This window comes from Homo sapiens, chromosome 6 (assembly GCF_000001405.40).
Source record: "Homo sapiens chromosome 6, GRCh38.p14 Primary Assembly".
In the NCBI taxonomy this organism is placed as follows: Eukaryota; Metazoa; Chordata; class Mammalia; order Primates; family Hominidae; genus Homo; species Homo sapiens.
Genome location: NC_000006.12, coordinates 146,415,699 through 146,438,799, shown reverse-complemented (window position 1 = coordinate 146,438,799; position 23,101 = coordinate 146,415,699). Strand labels below are relative to the sequence as shown.

General features: G+C 38.8%; 1 protein-coding gene across 8 annotated transcripts in view; it reads right to left on the bottom strand.

Annotated features, from left to right (window-relative positions):
- GRM1 (glutamate metabotropic receptor 1) overlaps positions 1,199-23,101 on the bottom strand; it is a 409,895-nt gene continuing 387,992 nt past the window's right edge. For 5 of the 8 annotated variants that reach the window (XM_017010784.2, XM_011535782.2, XM_017010783.2 and 2 more), the window contains one exon: positions 1,199-4,928. In XM_017010784.2, the coding sequence (XP_016866273.1) occupies positions 4,004-4,928 (925 nt within the window). In that variant the 3' untranslated portion in view covers positions 1,199-4,003. Of the gene's footprint in view, positions 4,929-12,156; positions 12,242-23,101 lie in introns of all 8 variants that reach the window. The other 3 variants (NM_001278065.2, NM_001278066.1, NM_001278067.1) reach the window with 3 other exon arrangements.

The following is a 23,101-nucleotide window of genomic DNA, read 5'->3' as shown; positions in this document are numbered from 1 at the left end:
ATTGAAGCCCTGCTGGGCTACTTACTAGCTGAGAAATTTGAGGTGGGTTAGTTCAGTTATCTAAAGTTTCTATATGACAGCAGTAATGGAAAGATTAAATAAGAATGAATTCAAATAACCTAGCACACAGTGGCTGGCACACAGCAGGTTATAAAAGTGTTGTTTCCCTTCTCTTTGATTCCCTCACAGGGCATTCTCTGTAGAAATCACTGGGCAGTTACTCATACATCATTTACAGCATCTGGACCCTAATCCTTACCTCTCCAAATGCCTTCCTTATGGTCCAAGTAAAGTTTCTGGACTCTCTCCAGATGGAGTCCTTTGTGACCTATCATGACATTTGGATATGTCTGTGGACTACGTATCTTAAACATTTTTCTTTTTCTTCTCTATCACTTTTCTTCATTTTTTTCTTTCCTGTTTTTGTTTCTCATTCTCTCTCCTATAACTTTTCCTCTTGAGACACAAAGCTCTCATTTCATGATTTATTATTGCATCTTTTAGGCACACTGAAGAAACCTCTGGTGTCCCAGCCCCTGTGTGTGGTTCTTTAACATTAGTCTTCCTGTATGGAGCTTGCTCCTGCCATCAAAATGCATGACAATCTCATCGTGTGGTCCTTGTACCATCATATTCTCTTTTCAAGTGATACTTGGGAAATGCCCTACTTTGCAGGAATCTCATAGCAGAAAATGTGAATAACAGAGACTCCTTTGTTTGGGGAACCAATGAGGTGTCAGTTGAAATGTAGAGGAATAGAACTTAGGGTGAGCAGAAGAGTAGCAGTAAGGTTGGAAACGAGGCCCCCCTAAAGTGTGAACCATGGAAAGAAAAGCCTTGTAGGGCATGAATGAAACAAAGCTGGGAACATTGGATGCCTTTGCCCCCAGAGCTCCACTAGAACGCCAGGAGTTTGTTCAGCCTCACACCCTCATCAAAAAGACGAATGACAATATCTGCCAAGGGCACTGCAAATTTTAATTTTGGAGTTCATTTAAAACTGTTACAACATGAGGTACCACTTCTTCATGGTCAAATTGTACTTCTCACCTACTTGATCTGTAGATCTTGTGTGGCATTCTCCAGCTTTCACCCAGAAGACATGTTCTGAGTCAAATCAAAACCTTGGAATTATTTCTTCCACTGGTCTATTTCTATTATTATAACTCTCACAGACTATAGAGAAAGAACATACACATTTAATAAATAGAAAATATTTATTATACAGCATTGTCAAGATTATTTGACAAAAGGCAGTAACAAGCCGAAGGAAAACACATTTACAAGAAGCTGAACAACTTGTATCAGAACATACATCAAGGTGAAGAGTTTCGGCCCTCTTGGTATAGGGTATGTATGTGTACATCTCCAATTTTGAACAATGATGACATAAGGACTAATACTCTATTTATTCAGGAGACCCCATAATCAGGATAATAGTAGGCATTCAGAGTAATAAAGTGATCACAGTTGAATGAACGTGTTCACCAAAAGTCTTAGACCAACCTGATATCATCTTACACTTGAATATAAGTTGTTTCCTTATCTATCCTAATTTTTTAAAAATCTGAATGCACAAGCCCTGTGATATTAGGGATGTATATTAGTGGCATTAAGAGTAAAAAATAAGCATGATTCACTAATAAAGAGATCATATGCTTTCCCTCATGAATTTGTCAATTACTAAAAACCCATCTATTAATCACTGGAGCCATTGATTTTCCGCTCTCTGCTTTCTTACAATGAAAACATGGAACCAAAGTCCACATCTCAGTCATGAGATCTTTTCAATAAAGGTGTTTTAAAATAATTTTTAAAGGAAATGCAGTTCATTCTTGGTGTGGAACTGACTAAACTTGGCAATAGAATATGATGAAATATAAGTAATACAAGCCTCCAACATTGGAATGGATGTTAAATTCTGAACAAATGATGCAATGGATATTTAAAGATTCTAAGATGATTTTTGGCTGAGAAATCAGCAGCTTCAATATGAAGGAAGCATATTAAAATATGACTGAACATAAGGCATAAACAAAGATATTTAAGGGGGGTATAATTCATTCCACAAATAATAGAAGAAATCAAAACAGCAAGAAAAATCCTTTTATTGGTGGTAAAAAGGGATTGTAAAGATGGAGTAAGTGGATTACATGTCCATGGATATTACACAACAGCAAATAGCAGAAATAAAAAGTTATGACAGCCAAGACACAGGAATAAAAGTCCATGAACATAAAAATTAAAAGAAGGCAAAATGTGATTGATAAAGATTTTACAAATTATTAGCTGAGTTAGATGTTACTGTATGTTAGACACTCAAGTAGCTGTGGAAAATCTTTAAAAAAATGATATAACCTGGAATAATCTAAATGCTTTGTTCAATCTTATGTGTTAATAATGTGTGCAAGCTTATAAAATGTACCTTTTATTTTCACTCTCAGTTTTTGTGCACTTTTAATATAACAAATTTTCAAACCACTTCATTAATAACATATCTCCACATCAGAAAATATCTGAAAAATAAGTTCCATCTTAGAAGAAAAATGTCCATCCGAGCTGCATATGAAAACCTTGAGCCATAGTATTCAAACCGTCAAAGAGCTTCTGTAGATATTGATGACAATGATGTACAAAACATTATTGGAACATAAAAAATATATATAGTATATTCAAAAGACAATTTCTAATTGCAGTTAGATTGACTACTAGGTTGACATTGACCAGTCAATTTGACATTACATTGCACAAATTTTACGATCGCACATATACAAGGACACAGGAACACATTCACTCGCTAGTTACAAGGACTTCAGTGACAATAGGATAGAATTATTTGTCATTTAAACCAGTAATAGTTGCTATGAGTACACCATTAGATTCAAAGATGGATTTGTTTCTCTAATACGTAGGAGAAATAATGGCACCAAATTGTACATATACGCATCTTAGAAGTTCAACTTGTAGGTATTATTTGCTACAGTAAGTGGAAGGTAACAATTTTGTCACATGGTTTGTTCTTTAACTGAAGGTCAATGGAAAGCCCGCTTGGCACAAACACAAGTCAATCTACAAAAGGGTTTCTGCCACTCTCGTAACAATCTCTTGTTCCGGCCTTTTCCCCAAATCGCCAATAAGTGAATATGGAACATGAGAAGCTGATCATGTGTTTTTTTTTCAAAGTCTCATGCTGATGGATTGTTCTATTTCTAGCTCCTTCCTCCTGTAGCACGCCTGATGAAGCACTTTTTGGTGATAATTTTGCTCTTATTCCTGTTTTCCTAAATAAAGGGAATCTGCAGAGCAGCAGGGGGTCCATGCACCTTTCTTCAAGTGCAATCTCAAAGCTGGCACTGGATGGGTTGCAGTGGATGAAGAGAGACCCCTGTGCCGCTCCATTCCTGAGTCTCCTGAAGATGAGGAGTCTGTCAGCCCAGCGGGGAGAAGGGCTTCTGAGCAAGGAGCTGCTGTCCCATCATCCCATCATCCGTTTGGGATGGGTCTGGCCTGGGCCCTTCCCTTCCCCGCACCTGCTCTGTCTGGCTCCACCAGCTCACTCCGAATGCCATCAGGTGAACTCATGATCCGACTGGCATGTCCACGTGGGCTGTTCCTTGGCAAGCATGGCCCAGTGTGTGTGGGCATATATATATCTATGCACAATTGTGCAAAAGAGGACATTATGTTTGTGATGTCACTATTTGATTTGTGATAAAAGTTACATACCATATGGAATTGTGCTTTGTCAGAATTCCCTTTCTTCCCAGAGAAGGCTTCGAGTAATTCAAGAATCCGAATCCTGGCCTGGAACATTTTTTGCTTGGTGTCCTTCCCTCTCTTCCTACTTAAGGCAGCAGCAGCAGTAGCGGCAGCAGCAGCAGCGGTCTCCTGTCCTCCCGACGAGGCCCCCCACTCCCAGGCTTTTCCTCCCAGCTGTTTGCACATCTCTGGAGGTGTGGGAGATCTCTGGCTTGTCTTGCTTTTCTATGTGGACCCTTCCCCCTTACAGGGTGGAAGAGCTTTGCTTGTAGTCCCGCAGAATGACAGAGGCGTAGGATACGTTGGGAGGGGTGCAGAGCACCGACTCGGACACGGGGGAGCTGGGCACCGAGCTGCCCGAGGCCACCGAGTCGCGGAAAGGCGACGGAGGCGTCAGCGCAGGCGAATCATCCGGGGTCAGTTTGCTGGCCGCCTGCAGGTCCTCCTCCTCCTCTTCCAGTTCGTCTTCTTCCGTGTTCCCTTCCCGCTCGTGCTCATACACGTACTCCTGGAGGAGCTTAAACCTCTCGCTGTCGTCGTCGTCGTCCGCGGGCGGGGAGACCAGCTCCTCCCCAAAGGTGCTCAGCTGCAGCGGCAGCATCTGCAGGTGCTGCGGAGGTGGCGGGGGCGGGTACAGGGACCGCAGCCCGTTCCCGGGACCACCGGGGCCTGCCAGCACCGCGTGAAAATCCGGGATCGCGGTACTGAAGTTGCTGACCACTCCCTGGAGCTGGTCCATCAGCGATTTCTGCTGTGGAGGGGGTTGCTGCTGCTGCTGGAGAGGAGGGGGCAAGCCCTTGGGGAGGGCTGGTTCGGCCAGGAAGAGGGGGGTCTCCTCTGCGGTCAGGTGGGACGGCAGAGGCGGAGTGGTCGCCGCGCTTGGCACGCGCCTGTGCACCACCATGGAAGGGCTACCAGGCGGGCTAAAGCGAATCGGCTGGGCATCCTCCTCCTCCTCTACGTTGTAAAGGGTCTTGGTGCTGGTATCTGAAAAGGTCAGGCTCTTGCCAGAGCCTTGGTAACTTTTAGTGAGGGGCTTGATGACGGCTGTTTGGTTGCAGGCCGTCTCATTGGTCTTCACGTGCACAGAGAGGCGGTGCCACATATGCTGTCCCTTGGGCACCTGTCCTCCACCTGGTTCAGACCATGACACAGACTTGCCATTAGAACTATGAATAAAATAGAGATGGATTTATTTGCAGATAGATCATGCACACAGGATAAAATACATAGAAAACATATGCAAACCTAGCTCAGTGTGATTTAACTGCTGTCTCTGCTGTAGGCCTTTGCTCCAGCACCCCATACCTCCTCTTACAAAAAGAACACCAAAAGCTGAAGGAAATATTGACCCTGAGAAAAGTTGTTGAGGAGAAAAGCCAGTCTGTTGTAGAAATAGCTATTTTCATTTAGGTCTAAGATTTCACAAACCTCTCTTTTTTCTCCGTTGCACTCTCTCCCTCTCCCTCTGTCTCTCTCTGACACACACACACACACACACACACACACACACACTTTTGAAAAACTCCCAACTGATGGAGGAAAACTTTAAAAAAAAAATCTTAGTTACACATGGACAACCAAAATAATGGCTATTGTCCTTGGGACAAATTAGGACCCACATACAAAGCTACTCTCGTTGTGTTGTGGGATTATAAAATAGATCCTCTCAGTTGCCCATTCTCATATGCAAGTATTTCCCATGACCAGGGTGGCGTGATCACACAGGGTACCTATAAGGAACATAAAAAAGCAGATGACAGAAAAACTCAGACTCATGGTCAATTTATGAGCTTCATAGCTTTTGATTTTTTTAAAACATTTCAATGCATTATTTCTCACACATACAGTGGATCACAATTCACACAAAGGCCCTGACTCACAGAAGCTGGTTTGGGATTTTCACTCTAGGAACATTGAAATAGCTGTATTTGAAAAGCAATAGAATGAGGAAGCCAGGAAAAATACAAATGCCCACATCCTGCTTTAGGATAGTTTGATGCAAATAAGAGAAAATTATGATTGAGACAAAGCAGCAGTTACTGAGACGAAAACCTCTACTCATTGAGCCTTGGTGAAGAAGAGTCTTAGGGTGCCAGGAGCATCCCAGCCTTATCAACTCCCATCTTCATGGCACCCACAGAAAAGCAGCCATATGGAATTTCTCCCTGAATAAGAAAATAAGAAGATGTACTGTGGCCTACACCCCAAATTCTGTTCTGTCTATTGTAATAACTCTGATCTCACTTCTGGACTCAGCTTCTTTTCTGTATAACTTTAAGCAGATGTTGGTACCTTACCATAGCCTTCTACTAATAACAACGGTGGAATCCTTAAATCAGGAAATAATTGTTTCTTTTCTTTTTTTAGAAGTTTGCTTTTTCTCTGTACTCAGTAAAATGACAGAGAAAGTAGCATAATAGTAACACATTTATGACATTAAAAGGAATATAAAAATGGACATTTTTTTCTTTAAGTGGAGGTGTGAAATAGACTAATCCATATTCTAGTTTTTGTTTGGAAAAAATGTAGGAAATGATCAGTAGTTTAAATAATGGTTTATTTCATCATCTTGAGAATACAAGAACGAATACTTCAAAAATTATATGTGAGCATCATTTATGATGAAGGTAATATTTTGACATTTCATATTTTATAATCTTGAAAAGTAAAGTGAGCCAGATAAGTACAGATGAGTGTAAATGTCTGATATTGATTATAGAAAATTCTGGATATAAAGGCTCTAAAATAGATAAAACAGTTAAAGTTTTGACCTGATTATTTGAGAAATAGGTAGTTCCTCCATATATCTGATACCCTACACTGCATTTTTAATTGTCTAAGACAAAGCTCATCTCTGTTATGTCAAAGTTAATATTTCTTTCAAATATATGCCTTACACATTATCTGAGACTGTGGAAGTGCTTGTAAAGTTTTTAAAAATTGTCTTATTGACTTCCACACTATCTTGTTGGAATAGCTGACTCTTTTCTGAGGTAAACAAACTAAAGAACAGGTCAGTGGTGTCCCTGGCAAGAACAGGTAGTCAACCAGCTAGCCAGAATCACCACCAGAATCCACAGTTGCTCTTCTGAGCTTAAAACTGTAGGTAAACTCATCTTCCACTTAATCTTTTTCAACTGCCCCATCATCTACCACTATACACACTTTGTTTTTTTTATGCATTCAATATGCCTCTTCTAGAAAGGCAAATATAAAACTTATTTGCCTCTTACCCTCCTTAAGTATGCCTTACTATATATAGCATCCAACTCAATAATTTGCATCATTTTAAATTGCAATGAAAAAAATGTTTCCTTCCCCATCTTCCCACTTCTTCATAGGCATTAGGAAATGCCTTTTTAATGTTCACCAGGAAAATGCTTAAACAAAATGTTATCCTGTATCTATTTAGTTGTGTGTGTGTGTGTGTTAAAACAACAACAACAACAACAACAAACAGGTCCCTTGAGAAATAATCTGCCTCTAATTCAACCAGCAGGCTTAGCTGTTCCAATGACACATTGCCTTAGTTTCTACACATAATAGCAAAAAGGTACCTTGTTTCCTGAAAGCCCTAATGTGATCCACTTCACCCACTCATTCACATGGGCTGTTTTCCTCATTGTCCACAGGTTCTATGTGGGCCTCTTTTTAAATCAAAAGCACCCATAAGTTAACAGTATTATTAATCATGTTGCAGACAGATATAATCAGAATTTAGTTCTGTTTTAATTAAATCCAATTTTTATTGTTGAGATGGGACATTTTCACTATGGCCTTCAAAACTGGTAACTTTCGTTCCCCTCAGTCTTGCTCTAGATTTGCTGTAAAGTACTTTTAATTAGGAAACAGATCTCACACCTCAGGGCATTTATCAGATTAAGAAAATTAGTGTAATCTTTTTTCAAGGATAAAATAAACTGCTTTTTAAAAATCAAACATAGTAGAAGGAATGTATCATCTCACAGACATTGCAGCACTGAGTACAAACTTTAGTTCTTCAAGATGAGTCATTTCTTACCTGTGGTCCATAGATAATCTGAAAGGTCCATGCATCTATACCTGCATTAAGCATTGTTTTTAAACTGAATAAATATTATGTATTTGTAGACAATGCACTGCTGTTTTTAAATGTATGTAGATGCTGTTATGATAAAGAGTGTTATTCAATACATGTGTAACTAAATTCTGGGAAGCTTTTGTTTTGTTCTGTATTCAAATGGCCGTGAAGAGAGGTATATTTAGTAATAATAGATTCAGGTGAAGGCTTAAGAACTGTTTTGGTGAGAAAAGAGAGTATCTTATTTGAGAAGGCAGGGAACCCACTACTGTGATATTAAGAAGAGAAAAATATGTAAAATCAAATCCATTTATATCAAGAAAGAATAAATACATTATAAAAATGCAATATTATCCTGCAATATGACATTTATTTAATCCCAGATAACTTTAATCGTTTCTGCTTCTGCCACCAGCTTCTTCCTTCTATTGTTTAATTTTATTTGGCTTCCTAATCTTAGGAAAAGCAATCTGGTTTAGAAAACACCACATAATTGTTACAAAGCACCTGAACCTTTTGCTCCGACTTCAAAAGACAGACCTGAGGCCTAAATCAATCTTATATTTGAAGATCAAATGCAGAGGCATTTAGAGTAAATATCTCAGGTGGCTCAATTGGAGGAAAACACTGTTAGGCCTACAGGATGTATAGGATAATGTATAGTTACTGTGTGGACAGCTAGGCAGGCCTGAGGTTGCAGTTCCAGCAACAACAGGTTCGGGATCTTGCTTTGGTTTTTCTTTCATTAGTTAGCTATCGCAATCCCCCAAACAGAAAACCCAATATTTACGGCACTTTAGAGAATAGTTGAGAGTGGGTGGTGTAAATAGATTAGTGTATCTTTGGCATTCAGTGATCCTGTCTGTTTTATTTGTTTCAGTAAGTACTAGTTACATCTGCAGAGTACACTGTTCTCTGATCCAGAGAGGTTTAAAATGGGAATAACAGTGGGTGGGTGTTTGAGATCATCAGGAGGGAAGCCTCCTGCACAAACTGCCTGAAGGGGAAGCTTACACAACACCTGTCTCTCTTATGTCCAAATCAAGTCTTTGCCTCTAGGCTTAATAGCTTCACAACAGATACAAGGACAGTATCCAGAAAGCCCACAGATAATGCAAGACCTTCGCGTAAGAAAGAGAGGCTCACTCCTGGGAACCTGAGGAGGGTAGCATTTGTTTTCTCTGAAAGTGAAAATGGAAACGGAAAACACCATTGAGTCCCAGCAAGGAGGGAATTGGCTCACCAAGAAAAAAGATAAAAAGGCACAGACTTCGGGACAGTTCTGCTCTGGCTCCCGCAGCTACAGCTAGAACATGAGGCCTGTCAAGGAAGGGGAGGTTCTGACCCCACCAAGACTTTCCCAAAGGAATGCTGGAAATACAGCTGTCCAGATATTTCAACTTCACATTCGTCAGCCCTCTGGTACCCTAGTGCAGCTTGAGAAGTAGGTCTTGTAGAATCTCAGGCCTAGGAACTATTTGACACCAGTTGTATCAGACTTCTGTTTTCCCAGGCAACCTCGAGTTTGTCATCAATACAAAGGACTCCCACTGACTCCAGCTCCACTTCTTGAAAGCCTTCCAGAAAAATCTGCATATTTAGAATGTATTCTCAAACTTGGGGGCCTATCTGAACATAATTACAATTTCTCGCCTTTTTGACTCACCACTAGCTGTAAGGTAAAGAATTTCTGAGGTGTTTTTTAAGACAAATGCTTTCTAATTATATGAGAACTTGGTAGTTTCTGTTGATATGACATCTTAAATGGCATTGTGAATCTTAGCCTTTTCCCCTTTAATTCTACCTTCATCATAAGCTAGTCAGAGAGTCATTGGCTTGCTAAAATTAGAGAATATCACAAAGTCTAAGTATGCAGTTCTTCTTTTAGGATCTTTAGATCAATTACATCCTACATCCTCAAGTTATATGACACTAGATAAAAGACAATACAAAGAAAATCAGTTTGCCCTTATTAAGACCTGTGCTTTCTTCATCTGATCAATAAAGAAAAAGACATTCAGAAATAAAATTACCTAATCAAATTCAGTAAAGTATAGAAGGCACCATAAAGTTTGTCTGGGTAGAGGCTCCACTCTCCTGAGAACATTACCCAATTTATTTCATATTAAAGAATAGAATTCTGATGGATACTAAAATTTTTCCAAGTACAGTTTGAATGGTCTTTAGTTCAACCTAATCATGATTACTGGCTGATCTAAGAAATTCTCCTACCAAAGTCTATTTAAGACAACATGTTGGTACCATGGCGTTGCTTTAGCAGAGGTATAACAAATATGATTATATTTCTTCAGGAAGTATAGATGAACTTAAATTACGCTCCCTTTAAAGGAACTTCAGGTCAAACATTATTATTTCTTCTATACTTTGTGCTACCAGAAACAATCTCTTAATAGTAAGAGATTTTTATGCTCCTCAGCTCTACCTGGAGTTCTCATAATTCACCCTGAGAAATGGGAAAACTGGTAAATTTTCTAATTTGCCAATTTCCCAACAAAGAAATGCAACTGCCATATTTCCTGCAACTGGAAAATTCACCAATTTTCTAATTGCAATAAAAATTACAGTTGCATTGCTCTGTTGGGATTATTTCTCAGGAGTAGGATAGATCTAGACAGACCATAATGGTCCAGTAGGCAGCTTTATTTCCGTCATCACTAATCTCTTTGCCTTGCCTATTCACAAAAACAGTGGGAACTGAAGGTCACAGAAGAACATATCTTTAAAAAAAAATTTAACAGGAACAACCATGGCTAAAAATATCCAGTCTTAGTTTAGTGTATGGTGCACAGATTTAAACCTACTTATCTCTTCCTAATCCTTTATGGTCTGAAGAAGGAAAGTTTGAATAGATCCTATTCTGAAAGTTCTTAACGGCCAATCTGTTAGCTTTGCTGACTGTTACTTTATTTTTTGTCACCCACCAGGGATGTACCACATTCAGCTTTTACTTTTGCTTTTAGGCACTCACCTTTTAGTTACAAAATGTCAGTCAACTCTCCTCTCTCTCTGGCCCTGCTGTCAGGACAAGACAAGCACATCTACCCATTCCCATCAATCCTTTTTGACAGGCAGCCAGCAGCTCTCACAATTAGAATCTCCTTGCTGTGTCCTTGGTTAGACTCACCCCATGATACAAGAAACACTCAGTGCCTTCTGAGCTTGGGAGAATTACAGAGAATTCATCCAGCCACAGTAGAGTGGCTCTGACCTAGATGCGCAGACACCTCTCAGTTACTACCTGGAACACCAGCAGGACTACCATATTTGTTCTTCTAAGAATCAATATGATTTGGTGGAGACCACACTCTTTCTATTTGGGTTTGTATGAGGAATAGCAGAAAGGCAGACAACAGACTTCCCATTGCACTCCACTGAGTGAAGGGAAGAGATGTTATGGCCCTATTCATCAGCCTCCATGGCCAGGTTCAGTAGCAGACATTTGAACAAATTGGGCTCTTCTCATCTGAAGAGCTATTCAAGCCACAGACACCTCATCAGTGGGCTCCCTCCTGCTGCAGGAATGTGTACCTTTGACTCTCCAAGGAGTTTGAAGGGCTGTAAAGGAACAGCTGAAAATGACCACAGACTCCGTGCACAACGAACTGAACATGGTCTATGTTCTTTTGTTAACTTAAAAAGACACTGTCAAGAGCTAAAGGTCAAAAATGGGACCAAACATGCATCATTTTTATCAGACGAGGAAATCTGATAAAAATCACTCATAATGTTAGGAAAATGACTACTTTTCCTTTTTGTAAAGTGTACTTTTTGTGGGACTCACAAAACTTTTGTTTTGTGCTCCCCAGGGTGTGGGAGGCACCCAGCAGAGGCTCATGTTGGCACCCACCCCCGCAAACTGACATGATAGAACTCTTCCATAAATTCAAGCTATGGCTTTTACTTTAGTGCAGACAGCATCATTTCAAACATTTGTGCAACCGCAAAAAGGCAAAAAAAGAAAAGAAAAGAAAGAGCTCTGTTTGCCAAGGAGAAGCTGACAAATTTCTGAAGGGGGAAAATTCACTTTCGGGCTTGTGAGTGGGAGTCACAAACAAAAGTGAGTCTCCAGAATCAGAAAAAAAAAATAGTGCATCAAAACATAAAAAAGCAAAAAGCCTAAATGAACAACTTGACAGTGTCCTTTTAAGAACGATGGACAATCAATTTAAGGCAGTCGTGCAAACCATGGCACGTAAATGAATTCTTCATTCTGATGGCATGCACCACATCTGTTTCCATGTTAGAAAGTGGAAAAACCCAGGAGAGAGAAAGCAAGGGGCAAAACACTAGATTTTCCATGCAGCTTCTCTTACACATTCACTGCAGTGTGGGGGTTTTCAAAGCTGCACATGTGCCGACGGACATTGGCTGGTGGGCGAGAATTCTGGCTGCCTCTTCCTGAAGATTGAAAAGAAAAAGACACCCAGTGAGCGAGGGGGTTATACATGTGTACAGATATGGCAAGTCCACCACTCAGGCAGTGCCTGGCCCTGAGCCTTGCTCTGTATTGCCTCCACCTCCGTTTGCTCTATGGTCCTTGCTCTGCCTGGCTGTTTCTCATTGCCAGGCTATTTCTTAAAACCCTGTCAGTGGGGTGCATCTCTTTCCAAGTGGCAGATGCTTTTTTTGCTGTGTGTGTGTGTGTGTGTCTACCCCAGGTTTGCTCTTTCCCTCCACTGTTGACACACTTCTTTATCCCTTGTGGCAGTGGACTTCATCTCTACTTACACTGATGTAGGCTGATTCTTCCCACCCTCTACTCCTAAAGGAAGTGCATGAGTTTATGTCTGACACTGTGACTTTTAATTGCACTGTTAATTTTCCTGCATATTATGGCATAATGAATGCATTGCTGTCACTTCATATATTTATCTCTTGGCATTCACAAGACAGAAAGTGTCCAGTGGTAGAGAGAGAGGGAGCAGCAACAGACCCACCTGTTGAGATTGGAAGAATCTGCACACAGGAAGAATATCATCTCATTCCCTAGCTGGATGTCTCCTTATACAGCACCTAGGATAGTCTGGCTTCTGTGCCCCTTTGGCAGATGGAGAAGAGAACTAGCTAGACATGACAAGGCTGATGGGCAGCCAGGGGTAGTCGGCCTTTCCATCATTTGTTGGAATAAGGATAAGTGCATTTCCCATGAGTCAGCTAGCACTGCAGAAGGTGATGGGATAAAGCTGTCTGGCTGTCATGCCACATAAGCGGGCTGCCTGTCATAGAAAAGAATTTCAGGTACAAGATGCTTAGGGTGAACTATCAGCACATGCTACAGGTGGTATGGGTGAAGCTGGTTCAACTGGGGAGAAATCTCTCATGTCAGGGGACTCTGGCCATGATGCAGTTCTCTACAGGGCTCCTCAAACTCATCAATGTTCTCTATGAGTCAACATCTGACCCTCTACCCAGAAGATCCTGGTGACAACTGTCCAGGGTAACCTGGAAGAGGACCAAAATGGCTCCTGGCAAATCAAAGACCTTTTCCTTCTCTTCTATCTCTTTTTCCCATCAAAGTAGACAGACGAGTGAAAACTCAGAAGAAAGAGGAGGAAGAGGTATTGCAGGAGGAGACCATGCCCCTTCCCATTCCAAGTCTCTCAGGCTGAGGCCTGACAGGTGCTGGGAAGAAGAGCTGTGAGTTTTAAATTTTAAACAAGAATACTCTGGAACAGATGTTCACTACCTGAAAGCAAGGGATTTGAACTGAATGTATAAGGCAGGAAAAGATTTTCCATAGCACATTGAATGTAACAGAGAAAAAACAAAGTTAATCCATATGTACAATTCCATCAAGTTTGGACCATTCATGAAATCATTTAAAGGTGCATGATTTACCGAGAGTAATTTGAAATCCTCATCAAAAGATAAGAATTTGAGACACCTTGGTGTAACTTCATTATTACTGCAATAATCCATTCATTTAATAAAATTAGAAAAACAGACACTGTTTGCTATCAAACTTATCAAGGTAATATGCCCCTGACATTCAAGATGCCTACTCGAAATCAAAAGATCATTAAAACAATGTAAATGTTAGCAAGGAGATGATCAGGAATAAAGGTATGTCTGAATATGTAAATGTAGTGGGAAGTAATATGTAAAATGATATTCAAGCAACTTTATTTCTCATGAAAGAAGATAGAAAATACACTCAAAGCATTAGGCTTTGCCTTGTTTGCATGTTCTTGAGCCTCTAATTAACTCTACTTTTGAGGAATGTCTGTATGTGGCCTGTTCAATTGGCACTGGGAACTGGGGCCCTGGCAGGACCAGCTTCACGGGCCTGGAACCAGAACAGACAGACAGACAAACACAATCTCTACCTCCGAAGAGCCCTGCACTTGATGTTTAGTGCTCTGTAATCATCCTCTTGAAATTCATAAAAATGTTATCTTTTAATTTGTGTTTTGCAAGTGATGGTCAATGGGGAAATAGAGCATGCGCTGGGAGATTGGAGCCTCAGTTTACACATGGCCCACATCTTGCAGCCTCCCTGCCTTTCTGGACAGGCTTTGGGATTTTCGGACTCTTGTCCCCTGGGTCCCAGCCCTGTCCAGCCTCCCACTACCTGCCCCTGTCTAGAAATCACTACCACTTTCCACCATTGACAAGGGGTTGGGCATAAGTCCCGACAAGATCAGGGTCTGATATATGTGCCCTGTACTATCTCAAGGCAATGAATGGCAGTGGCTGTCTCCTCCCTGGACCGGAAGTGCCACTGCACTTTTGGTAGGCAACACGCAGTGGCAAGCCTCTTGCACATCCTTTATCCAGATACCTTAGGTGTCTCTGCACTGTTATTGCAATACCCTTGGGAGTCACCTGTCTAATATGGGCTGAGGCAAAGAGGACATGAGAAAGAGAGGTAACCGGTTCAACTTCCCTATGACCTCTGCCCAGTGACTGGCTGGAGAGGAACCTGGCAGCCTGTGGGCTGAGCACGTGCAGTCACAAAATGGGGATGGCCGTGTCTGGTGGGACTTCATTTGCCCCACACAAGGGAACACAGCACTAAATGAAAAATACAAAACACCATGACAGATCAAGAGAAGCTGTGGCTTTATAATGTAGTACCTTTAACACTTTACCTCTGCTTTTTGAATCAGGAGCTCCGTGTTTTCATTTTGCACTGGGCCCTGCAAACAATGCAGCTGGTCCTGCCTGCTGGGGATGTCTAATGATAAAAACAAGGGGCGGGGGGATGCCTTGACAACTTAGCAACTCGGTGTACTGACCTTAGCAGAGTCCCACAGTGTGGTGCACCCAGGCAGCATCTGTACTTCTGTGTCTCCCGGAAATTGGACAGGAAGCTCTGTGGCCTCTGTGACTTGCATTCCCTCTTAAAACCTACTCCTGCAGTTAGGGGACAGTTCTGCGGTTCCTTTGAGGCCTTCCGGCATATTGACAGCCAAGCTTCACACAGTAACTCAGTAATCCCAAAGACACCCTAATTAACTACTGATGGAGAGATTTGAAAAAAAAAAAAAATAGAGCATCTCCTTTATGATCCCTTTTGTTTGGTCTCCGACTTTCACTTTGCATTGAAGTGAAACATAAATGACCCTGCATACAGACCTTGCTTTTATGAAAGGAGTGTTTTATTAAAGGTTACAGGACAAGCCATGTAAAATCTGAGGCCAGAGTGGCCATTTTATCAACTGCATAAAAACTGAGAGAAAGAGGTTGACTTCAGGGTATTTTTAGCAATTGTAAAACCACATATTCAACCAACCACAGATTCAGCAAGCCAGAGTAAAAGCTTGGAGGGAAAATGTAGCATATGGGGGCTTGTCAAATATAAGTCCCAAATCTGTGCTTGAATCTTTTGGCAGAAGTTGTGGATTTAAAGAAACCCCAGAAGTAGTTTAGTTAGAAAGGGTCCTCTTCAATTTCTTCTTAAAGTGCAAAGGTCTCTCTCTCTTCTTTTCCCTTCTCTCCTTCCTTCTTCTTTCCCTCCTTCCTTCCTTTCTTTCCCTCCCTCCCTCCTCTCCCTTTCCCTCTCCTCCATTTCCCTCTCCTCTCCTCCTCTTCCCATTCCTTTTTCCTTTCCTTTCTTCCTTTTGTAAAGTCACTGCTTGTCATACACTGATGGATTCTGCGTAACTTTACCCATATATTTCCATTGTCCAAATAGTCTTCCTTGATATAACAGCCTATCTCTCTTTGAGAGATACTTAACTCAGTATGACTTTGCTTTAATATTTTATTTACATCAGGTCACCCATTCTTCACTTTCTATGTAAAGATTTATTTTTTAAATGAAGTTAGAATTTGTTACAAATAAATTTTACTCAGTATGATGTTAGCAATGAGATCTCTGGACATTGAATCAGGAGGCCTGGCACTTTCCAATTGTATGATCACTTCTTTCAGACTCAATTTTTTCATCCATAAAGAAGGATTGTTGAAAAAGTATGTGTGAAAATGCTTTCAAATAGCAAAATGCTATTCCAGCCTAATCCATAAGCCATTGCTATTAATACCCTTATTTTGAAGGATGGAAAAATAAAGACACAGACAAAAGACTCAGACATTTAAAATATCAGTGTGTATTTAGCTTAGACTTATTTCATAGGATCTCAAACTTCCCTTCACTTTACTTGTTGACTTCAGCCACTTTCCTTACTCAAGAATGTCAATAACTTCCAGTAGAAAATAAATTAAACTTTATTTTCTCTCTCTTCCAGACTTTTTTATTTGGGTAACAGTGACTTTGAATGGATTTGTCAGGAACAGGTGAGGCACACAGTCAGGTTAGCTGTCTATGAAGTTGCATGTTTTCGGAGGTTTGGAGGTTAATCTACTTTTTAGCAGAGATAAAATGTTCTATACAATTCCAGATGGTCAGTCTTAAAAATATAGAAAGCTCACCATGGAAATAATAATGCAGCAGCTGTCCAAAGTAATCATAAAGAATGACAGCCACCACTCAAGACCATTTTAGCAGGGTACAGTCTATTTTATGTTGTTTTTATAGATAAATACATAATTTGTGCCTCTGATTGCTTTCCAAAGCCAAATGCATTTTTGCCTGTTTTTTGAATTTTAATGTTTGTTTTTCAGCATTTGTTTATAGGAATGGAGAATGGAGCTCTGGGTATGTGTGTAGGCTCTCTGTAAATGGAAATTTTTTCCACCCTTCCTTTTAACGCATGCATGTATATTAAAACTCTTTATATATATGCACAATGCAGTCTTTCCATATAGGTGTAAAATATTGCTTCATTTCAAAATTGTTAATTATTAAGATTCATAAGCTAGTAAGAGACTACAGAGAATGGTTTAATCACATTCAGTTTAGTTACCACCATAGATTTGACAAATATTAACATTTTGCCCTATTAAAATCTTCTTTCTTTTGAAAATATTAAGGATATGTTTGAAGCCCTCTGTATATTATTCTAAATATGAATCTGCTCCTTTTAAAGAGACAAATTGGTATGTATTGTCACTTGGCATATTTTATGTTGAATATGTATATTCATATGTGTTAGTAAATAATACATGATAGTGTTTAGCATATTATATTTTATATACTTGACATTACATTTCCATTCAACAATTTCCCTTTTTGCACGGTATTATGTATAACTAGTATTATGTATAGCTAGAGTATAACTCTAGTTCATTCACTTAAACTAAATTGAACAAATACCACACTTTAAAAAATAATCCATTCTTCTACTGATGACCATTTAGTTTTTTTCCTACATTTTGCTATTTTATCAATACTGCAATAAACATTGTTAATGGGAGATTTTTTTCCCATGATATTTACTTAGAACTAGAATTGGTACATTGTTGAGCATGCACATTCATCTTTCTTATATATTACCAAATTGCTTTGCAAAGTTCTTGCACAATTTACACTAGTGTATGAGGTTTTTAGACATTCTGCTTGGTTTTTAGACATTTTTAAAATTAACTTTTTATTATGGCAATTTTCAAAGATATCAGATGTTGTTATCCTGATGAATACTTTGTAAAACATCCCATCAGTCTTTCCTCTGGTGGTCTTAGCAGCCATTAATTATCAGAGTATAGATAAATTATTTTATTATGAGACTACAAAGTGGTAATGCAATTCTATCATCCTTTTTGTATCTGTCAACTGTATTTCCCTTCTAACAAAGAACTTTCCCTCATCATCTATTTAGTTTCTCTGAGATAGAGTTCAAACAGAAAATGCAAGGCAAATAGATGATTCTTTTCCTTTATTTACCAATGTTAAGAATACTGACTTGGTTTTCTAACATTCTCCAATAGTGTATCACATGGGGGTCTGCTTCTATTGTCTGTTTCCCTAGGTTTTCCAGTAATATGGTCCTATCTCTTGGTATGCCTAATAGTATTTTATATCAGATGAGACACTGTGAACATATAAAATAAGATTATGTAGAGGCCCTAGAAAGTGCTATCTTGCCTTACCATTTCCTCTCCTAAGTAGAGGGGCACTGCTTAACGTAATCCAACCACTGACTGAGCTGAGTCACAGTCATTTTGATAAAAATCAGTCTACCACAGGGCATATCCCTTCGGGACTTTCAACAGAAAGCCTGGCTGTGCACTAGTGCACTTCATCTGGTGGGTCTTTCTTTACGTTCCCTGCTTTTTAAAGATTTTTCTATTTAGATTTTTGGTCTTCTGCTGCAGATAGCTTCAAAATTAGGAAAATATCTTGTCAGGGAGCCTTGATCATGTGTTTGAATGACTTTGAGTCTTCAATTTTGTCATTTTAGCTTCACATGATTACAAAAGTGTTTTTGAGCCCTCTCCTCGATGAGTCTGTCTCTCAGCACTGGAGAACTCCATGGAAACCTATTTTGTATGTCAGATGTATTCAGCTTATCTTTTAATCTTTCTGACCCACCCAATGGCAGACATCAGCAAATGTGTTGAGGGAGAAGCTGGACCTGTGGTGAAGCCTCTCTGGCCTTTCATTTCCTCACCCCAGTCCTTTGTGACCAAAAGATTTCCTGTTTCCTCTGGTCCTTCCATTGATTCTCTGCCAAGCCCAAGCCTGGAAACTCAGGAATATGGTTTGGCTCTCTGTCCCACCCAAATCCCATCTCAAATTGTAATCCCAGCATGTCAGAGAAGGGGTCTCGTGGGAGGTGATTGCATCACGGAAGCAGGCTTCCCCCTTCCCCCTTGCTGTTCTTGTGATAGTGAGTGTGCTCTCAGGAGATCTGGTTGTTTGAAGGTGTGTGGCACTTCCCCCTTCACTCACTTGCTTTCCTGCTCTGCCATGGTAAGACGTGTTTGCTTTCCCTTCGCCTTCTGCCATGTTTGTAAGTTTCCTGAGGCCTCCCAGTCGTGATTCCTGTTAAGCCTGTGGAACTGTGGGTCAATTAGACCTCTTTTCTTCATAAATTACCTAGTCTCAGGTAGTTCCATATAGCAGTGTGAGAATGAACAAATACACTCAGCCTCCATATAGTGCCCTGAACTGGCAAATTTGCACTATTAGTGCTTGTCCCGTGGAAACACTGTTGCAGATAATTGTCTCAGTTTTCATTTCTCTTCTCTCTGAAATTTGAGTCTCATTAATCTTCATCATTTCAGTAGCTCCCTGATGCTGTAAATAAATTATCTTTGTCCTTCCTATTGTTTTTCCAATTATTCTTCTTGGGAGCTATTCCGCCACAGTCTCTTTCATGCTATCCAAAACAAAAGTCTCATCAGAATTCTTTATTTCTTAATTTTTGCCAAACCAAGGATTGTAAAATGATATCTTAATATTTTTCTTCCGTCTGTTTCTTTGATAATGTTTAGGTTCCCTAAAGGATCCTTAGCCTTCGTGGAATCTTGCATATGTTTCCTTCACAATTCCAACATGTTTGTCAAGTTCCTGTACAATTCACATTGCAATGTAGGCGAAATCTCAGTACCTCTCCTGTGATCCTTTTTACTCCTTATATGTTATTAATGTTAATTCTAATCTCCCATAGGCCATAGTCTCTAAAGACTGACATAATTCATGTCAGAATTACCTTATGTGCCACATTATTCTGCTTTCATATGCCCCAATTTTTTCAAATAATTAAGAAAACCATAGAATTTCTCATGCGAACATTACTTTTAAGCGTGAAAGAAGTTTTCTTTATAATTAAGCCATAAAAAAGGGATAAATTGGGACTGCCTGGGTAGGTACAAAGACATATGGCCACTCTACTTATTATGAGTGTTAAATGAATGACTGAATAAATCAAAACAGAATATGGAAATATTCCAAGTATGAATATTAGCAAGAAATAATTTTGAGCTTCTCTATTACTTTGCTAATTGAAGGGATAGCAAAAGCAATTATTTTTATTATAAATTCTTAAATTAATTATAAAATTTAATATTGAATGTCATAATATCCCCAGGAAAATTTAAATTAAAAAAATAGTAAAAATAGTGTGTATGTATATGCATGTATGTATACGTGTGTGTTAAAATGAGGATATACATAAAAATATCAGTGGTGATTTTTCTTTCTAGGTATAATTGGAAGTAATTAATATTAGCTTCCTTGTGCTTCCCAATATATTCCAAATTGCACACTGTAAATATTTATTATTTTTAATATAAAAATAAGCAATAACTTCTATTATAAAAATAAATTTATCATGACCTAATAATTCAGACCATGATTCTTTTTCCTCTTAGCTTTACCCCAGGAACTAAGATACTATATGGGGCTGCATACATATTTTCTTTCACTTAAAAAAAGATATAATGTAAACATTCTAAAACTGTATATTAAAAGATATGAACAGCTACTAAGGAGACACGCCAAATGTAAATGACAGAATTTGGCACAGTACTAATATTTTTAAGTTAATTACTACTGAAGCTTTTCTTACTTCAGAACTCCACAGTAGAGTACAGTTAGTACTTTTCATGTTGTAAATACATTATTTAACTGTACATACATTTTAAGTGTTTGTTCTCACATATAGGCATCTTTTCTAATGAGAAAGCAGCCGCTCAAAATTAGGAGGAAAAAAAAGGTAGATCAAGTTACACAAAAGGGAAAATAGCCTGCTGTGCTTCCAGAGAGACTTTAGATGACAAACTTCCAAAGTCAGACTTTTTATTACCTTACTTTGATTTATTACAGAGGGGAAGAGAAAAGGATGATGAAAACAACTTGCCAAAAGTTAAAATTTTCACCTCAGGATGTTTTGAAAAGAAGAAATAATTATTTAGTAAGAGGCTTAGAACTGAAGATGTAATGATAATTATAAAGGACTTATAACACAAAAACCTAAATTTTGTGAGAATTCTGAAATTCTTGGCTATAGCACTAACCTCAATATTAGATGCCTACTTCCACTAACGTTTATTTTACACTAGTATTTCTCTTGAAGCAGAGGCGTTAATAGCTTCATGTCATCACACATGGAACCTGAAACAGAACTGAATAAGCAATTATCATACAATTTCTCTCATAGTATTACAAGTGTAATCACCATAGTCCTAAAGAACATCATAGCCACATCACAGCCTATTGAGAAAGGTATTGGTTTTCTAACATCCTCCAATAGTGTTAAGTGGTAGATATAATATAAAAGGGAGGGATCAAGATTGGCATAAGAAGACTTCTGCTTTCAGCTAATATGTAGTACCCCAGGGCAAACTAACTCTCCCACTGAAAACAACAAGAAAAACCAGATAAATTTTTTTAAACCACTGGAAGATATTGAGAAGCTGTCACAGCACCAGAATGCAACGGATCAACAAATTAGAAGGAACAGGACTTCAGAGAGGTAAGCGGATCATCTTCAAGCTGTTTTTCCCCTTGGAATTTTTGATGATTCTTGATACAGGACAACAGACTAAGAATCCAGGCAGAGAGTCTTAACTAAGAGGCAAAGAAGCAAGGAAAATTTTTGATACATTCACAGGACTGTAGACATAAAATTTTGAATTCAAGTGCTCCAAGGCAGCTAGAACTTGAGGAACCGAGATCCTGGAGAGAGGGAAGTAAAGAAAAGTGAGACTGACACTTGGTGGTTTCCCTCTAGAAAAATTTTCATATTTATCACATTTTAGGCTACACAAGGCACAGGGTACAAAACTAAGCAGTAAGCTGCTGAAAATCAGAGTAAAGTTTCTGGAAGTCTCACGGTGCTGAGGAATCAAAATTGGAGTCAAGACTTTCAAAGGATTAGAGGTTCAAGTACACCATCGGAACCCAGAATCTCAGCCAGGACCCCCGGATAGCTCTACCCTCAGAACAGGATGCACCAGGTGAAGCAGAACAAGTTTTATAAAACCACAGTCCACATCAAATCAGCTCAGTCCGTAACTGGATTATAACGTAAAGGAGAAACATATGGGGATACATAGATATTGATTATGCAAATCAATCACATTAATAATAATATAAGATAGGATGTAAAATATGTATAGAAATGAAATGCATGTGAAAAAAGCACAACAGTGATGCAAGATAAATTTAAGTGTTTCATGATCCTTGCCTTGCTTGGAAAGTGATAAAACTACTAATTTATTTGAGACTATAAAAGATTAATTTTTTTTGTAATTTCTATGATAACCATAAAAAATAATAAAAGAATGTAGAGCTAACAAACTAATACAGGAGAAAGTTGAATATTAAAATACTAGTGATTATTATTTTGATAAATATTAGACTAATCAAAAGAAGGAAAAAAAATAAAATGGAACATAAATCCAGTGAGACAAATAGAAAATAATTAAGTGGTTGATATAATTATGTCAGCATTTATATTACATATAAATAAACTAGATATTCTAATTTAAAGGTAAACATTATCAGACTGACTGAAAAGCAAAATCAAACTTACATGCTGCACATATAAGACACAATCCTTAAACATATAAACACAAAAGGTGAAAGTCAAAGGTTAGAAAGCTGAAAATCAAAGGATGGAAAATGGTATATCATGCAAGTACCAAACAAAAATAAAAGCTAGTAGTTATACTAATGTCAGACAAAGTAGACCCTGTTTCTAGTAGTCTATATAGAGGACAAAGGAGAGCTTATATTAGAAATTCAGGGTTTGATTAATATTTGATAATTCAATATATTTTCCCAGTAACATAGAAAAATATAATCATTTCAACTGATACAGAAGAATCTGACAAAATTCAATGCTTATTTGTGATCAATTTCTCAGCAAACTTAAGAGTATAAGGGAATATCTTCAACCCTATTAATGGGCATCTCTGCAAAACCTAGAGATAGCATCAAACATAACGATGAACTTTTGAATAATGAAA